The sequence below is a fragment of the Homo sapiens genome, chromosome 1 (assembly GCF_000001405.40).
Source record: "Homo sapiens chromosome 1, GRCh38.p14 Primary Assembly".
Classification (NCBI taxonomy): Eukaryota; Metazoa; Chordata; class Mammalia; order Primates; family Hominidae; genus Homo; species Homo sapiens.
This window is the reverse complement of record NC_000001.11, coordinates 237,025,515-237,030,129: the sequence shown is the minus strand read 5'-3', so window position 1 is coordinate 237,030,129 and position 4,615 is coordinate 237,025,515. Positions and strand designations below refer to the sequence as shown.

At 37.8% G+C, this 4,615-nt stretch overlaps 1 annotated feature.

Annotated features, from left to right (window-relative positions):
• Positions 4,415-4,615: a silencer, noted in NCBI's record as "peak789 fragment used in MPRA reporter construct". NCBI's record gives its function as "represses an SCP1 promoter by STARR-seq MPRAs in K562 erythroleukemia cells {active_cell/tissue: K562}" and the evidence as "EXISTENCE:reporter gene assay evidence [ECO:0000049][PMID:32103011]".

Sequence of the window (4,615 nt, the reverse complement as noted above, 5' to 3'; positions counted from 1 at the left end):
ACTTTAACCGCACTGGCCAAGGCCACCCACTAAGCCCTCCTCTGTGGAGCACTCTCCCTGGGAAGGTCACATGACTGGTGCCTTGTCACTATTTGGATGCTGGCTGAAACATCCTGTCCAAGAGGCCTCCCTGACCACCGTCTCTTTTTTTTGTTTGTTTGTTTTTTTCTGAGACAGAGTTTCACTCTTGTCACCCAGGCTGGAGTGCAATGGCGCAATCTTGGCTCACTGCAACCTCCACCTCCGGGGTTCAAGCAATTCTCCTGACTCAGCCTTCCAAGTAGCTGGGATTACAGGTGCACTCCACCATGCCCAGCTAATTTTTTGTATTTTTAGTAGAGACGGTGTTTCACCATGTTGGTCATGCTGGTCTCAAACTCCTATCCTTAGGTGATCCACCCACCTCAGCCTCCCAAAGTGCTAGGATTACAAGCATGAGCCACCGCATCCAGACTCCTGACCACCATTTCTAAGGTATCAGCCTTCACTCATCACTTTCCCCCTCATTACCTTGCCTTATTTCCTTCTAAATTGGTCATCACTACCCAAAACTGTCTCATGTATTTGCTTGCTGAGCAGAAATCAAAATCCTTGGCAAAGTGAAGATAGTCTATTACCTCTCCTTCAATCCAGCTGACTACTCATTTTGTCAGAAGAGGAAGTTATAGTCTGACAGGATTTGTTCTTTACAAGGCCATCCTGTTTGCTGCCGTTCTTATGAAAATATTAATCAAATAGTTACACAATTATTTTCTTCCAGTCTCTTTCCTGATAGACAGGTTAGGCTTATCGGTCCAAAGACTTCTAGATTATTCTTTCTCTAAATATGTAACTTATTATTTTGATTAATATCCAAAATTCTCCTGCACGAAATCTCCAAAATGAGACCAATGCCTGCTCAGTACTTAAAAAGGTAAATAACTGAAATTTGTCAATACATATGACTCGGATTTTTCCTCTCCATTGTTTCTTTAAATTCAATTTGTACCTTCAAAATAAAACCACACAGTGATACTCGATATAGATAGACAGATTGATGAATAAATAGACAGTTGAGTTTGTTTCAAGTCTCTATCCTGTAGTGTCATTTCGAATCAGATTTCTATGTCCATCTAATAAGAAAAAATACTTACTTTTATTAATATATCTCATTACTGAACCATTTAGTCTTTTTCAATTTTTCTTTATAGAGTTTGCTTTAATTCTCTCATTTTATCTACTAATTTTCATTATTCATGTTTCTCCTAGTAAACTACCCCACATTCAACTTTATTTATTTATTTTTTTTTTTTTGAGAGATTGGGTCTCACTCTTTCACCTAGGCTAGAGTGCAGTGGCACAATCACAGCTCACTATAATCTCAAACTCCAGACACAAACGATCCTCCCACCTCAGCCTCCCAAGTAGCTGGAACTACAGGTGCCCGCCAACATTCTCAGCTAATTTTTTTTTTTTACTTTTTTTGCAGAGACGGCAGTTTCACTATGTTGCCCAGGCTGGTCTCGAACTTCTGGACTCAAGCAGTCCTCTCACCTGTGCCTCTCAAAATGCTGAGATTACACATGTGAACCACCATGCTGGGCCCCCACTTTCATTCCTGTAACATTCCCATTTATATTCCATGTCCTAGAAAGTGTTTTTACTTAGTCAATTAGTTTCCATTGAACATTTTTCTATTTTTCCGTATATGGACATCACTGTTTTGTTCTTAAGAAAGTGTGTGTGGAAATGTTCAGTCCTCCTGCTCTAGCTTCGTTTTTCATTTCTTTTTCAATTTCTATGAATTCAATTTGCATACCCTTAAAATACATTTTAATTATTTGCTCATCAACCTTAATCTGTTCAGCATATCTTCCAATTAAAAAAAAATTCTTCCTTATTTCCATTCATTAAAAGGCAACTAATAGTAATAATAACAAAAAGCCTATTATTTAGGAAACCATACACATGCTAGGTCCCTTCCTGGTCCCAGAACCAATCTGAGCCCACAGCAAGAAGCATTCTGCAGCTCTGGTCACAGAATCTGGAGGAAACACCCAGTTGCTAAAGTTCCAGGTCACCTGAGCACTGTTCTGAACCCCTTATCTCTTTCTAGACTGAGATAGTGCCTTCTGTTTCTTGTCAGACTCCATCCCAAGCCCAGGAATTCTGCTCCTGAACTGCAAGCTGGCTGGGTAGTTTGTTTGTTTGTTTGTTTGTTTGTTTGTTTGTAAAAAGAAATGAAAGAAAAAAGAAGGAAGGAAGAAAAGAGGGAGGGAAAGCGAGAGAGTGAGCAAGTGCGTACAAGCAAGCAGGCAGTAAATACTACTTCCATCCCAGATAAACTGGCAGTCCACAACAATAAAAGGTGGAATCACAGATGTCTTCGTGTGTTTAGGCTGCTACAACAAAATGTCATAGACTAGGTAGCTTATAAACAGCACATATTTATTTCTTGCAATTCTAGGAGCTAGAAAGTCCAAGATCATGGCACTGGCAGATTCTGTGTCCGGTAAGAGCTTGCCTTCTGATTCACAGGCCAAATCCATTTCTAATCTTGCTTCCTAATCACTTCCCAAAGTTCCCGCCTCCTAATCCCATCAGCCTGGGGGGTTAGGATTTCAATGTATAAATCTTGAGGGGACACAAATATTCATACCATAGCAACAGCTGCCTGGAAATACACAGATCAGGGGTCCAGAGGGGGAGCGTGAGGCACCATCATTTCTGTCCTAGGAAATCATGACTAACTCATCTTTTTAAGTTTTTTTGAGGGGAAAAAAGACACATGGACAGGATTGAATCTGTGCATGTGATTTATTTAAAGCGTCTTTATCAAGGGGCCTTTTATCTGGTTCTAGGACAGCAAATCTATTTAGATATAGGAAATAGAGGGAGAAAAAAATAAAAACCATGGGTCCCCAAGGACTTGGTACCAGACCTACTTTATTTAAACATATCCATGATTTGGAATCCAGAATAAACAGTATCACAAATTTGACCCATGACATTAAGATTTTCTAAGTAGTGAAATTCCAGGTCCTGAAAACTCAGTAAAGATTTCCCAAGCCAAAATGAGCTAGAAAAGAAGGTCCATGAATTTCAAAGTGAGTGAAGGTATTCAAATCCACAAGGAAGATGTTAGGCTCTGAGACACAGTTCACTGCCAGAAGTAGAACACCTTATGTGTCCCCAACGCCAAAGGGTATAACATTAGGCTGGGCATCCTTAGTAATGAACAAACATAAATAAAAAAATAGACTCCAACTCCACACACAAACTGTGGGTGTCTATGCTTGGAATACTGTATGCAACTTTGCTTAATCACTGTCAAAAAATACACAGTGAAACTGAAGAGAGCACAGAATGAGGAAATTAAAATAATCAACTGTGATAACAGACTAAAAGTACTTTTAAAAACATTTTAATCTGGGAAGATAAGTTAGGTTGGCATTGAAGCTGAAAAAAATCTTGAAAGGTATAAACAGACTATGAATGCCTCTCAAGGACTCCTTTGAAATAAGAGGTCTTTTAAGATGAATAAATGTTATAACACTCTCATTTCTTGTCTGCCAAGCACCACAGGATACAGAATCTTTAGCAAAGGTGAAGACAAGCTGGTGTGTAAGATTCAATTTGCACAATTCTATGATATTGATCCTAGGTATATCACTAGCTGCTACACTAATTTGTTGGGAAATAGGGAAGTAGCAGAAACTAAAACAGTAAGTAAGTACCCTAGGAAAGACCACATATCCGTTCATCCCTTCATTCAGCTATACTTACTGTTTATTATACACCTGATGCTATGCTAGACAATAATGAACATGTCCCTCTCTTATGTAATATGCCTTCTACCTAGGAGCTGGAGTGAGCAGTGGTAAAATTGCCATCTTACAGTTTTTACCACTATGCACTCATTTAGGTTAATTAGTTCCTCTGATATGTAAATTACACAAAAGTGAACATTAGTTAATAATGGAACAATTTCTTGAGAACTTTTCATGAAAGAAGCATGGCACTAGATGCTGAAAACATCATGACATCTTCCTTCCCCCAACTAGCTTAAACCTGTGAAACATTTTGAGTTTAGATTTAATTCAAACTGCAGCAGGAAACTGTTGGAAGGTTTTAAGCAAAGAAGTAAGTAACATTATCTGATTTTTACTGCAATAAGGAACTTTTTATCTTATTTCATTCATGTTTAAATTTAAATGATAGTTGACTAAAGCGATAATGTGTTGTGGAGTTTATAACATGTTATAAAGTTATGTAAGATGTTTGACAATGGATGGAAAGAGGAAATTAAAGTATACTGTTGTAAGGTTCTTACACTGTATGTGAAGTGGCATAATATTATTTCAAAGTTTGAGCTATAAGTTATAAATGAAAATTGTAAATCCTAGAACAACCACAAAAAGTAATAATCAAACAGAGGCATAGCCAATAAGCCCCCCAAAATACAATCATAGAAATACTCAATATATCAAAAAGAAGGCAGACAAGCAGATGGAAACAAAGAACAGATCAGACAAACATAAAACAAATAGCCAAACAGTAGATTTAAACCCAAACATATCACTAATTACATTAAATGTAAATGGACTAAACATTTCAATTAAAGGACAAGATTGTT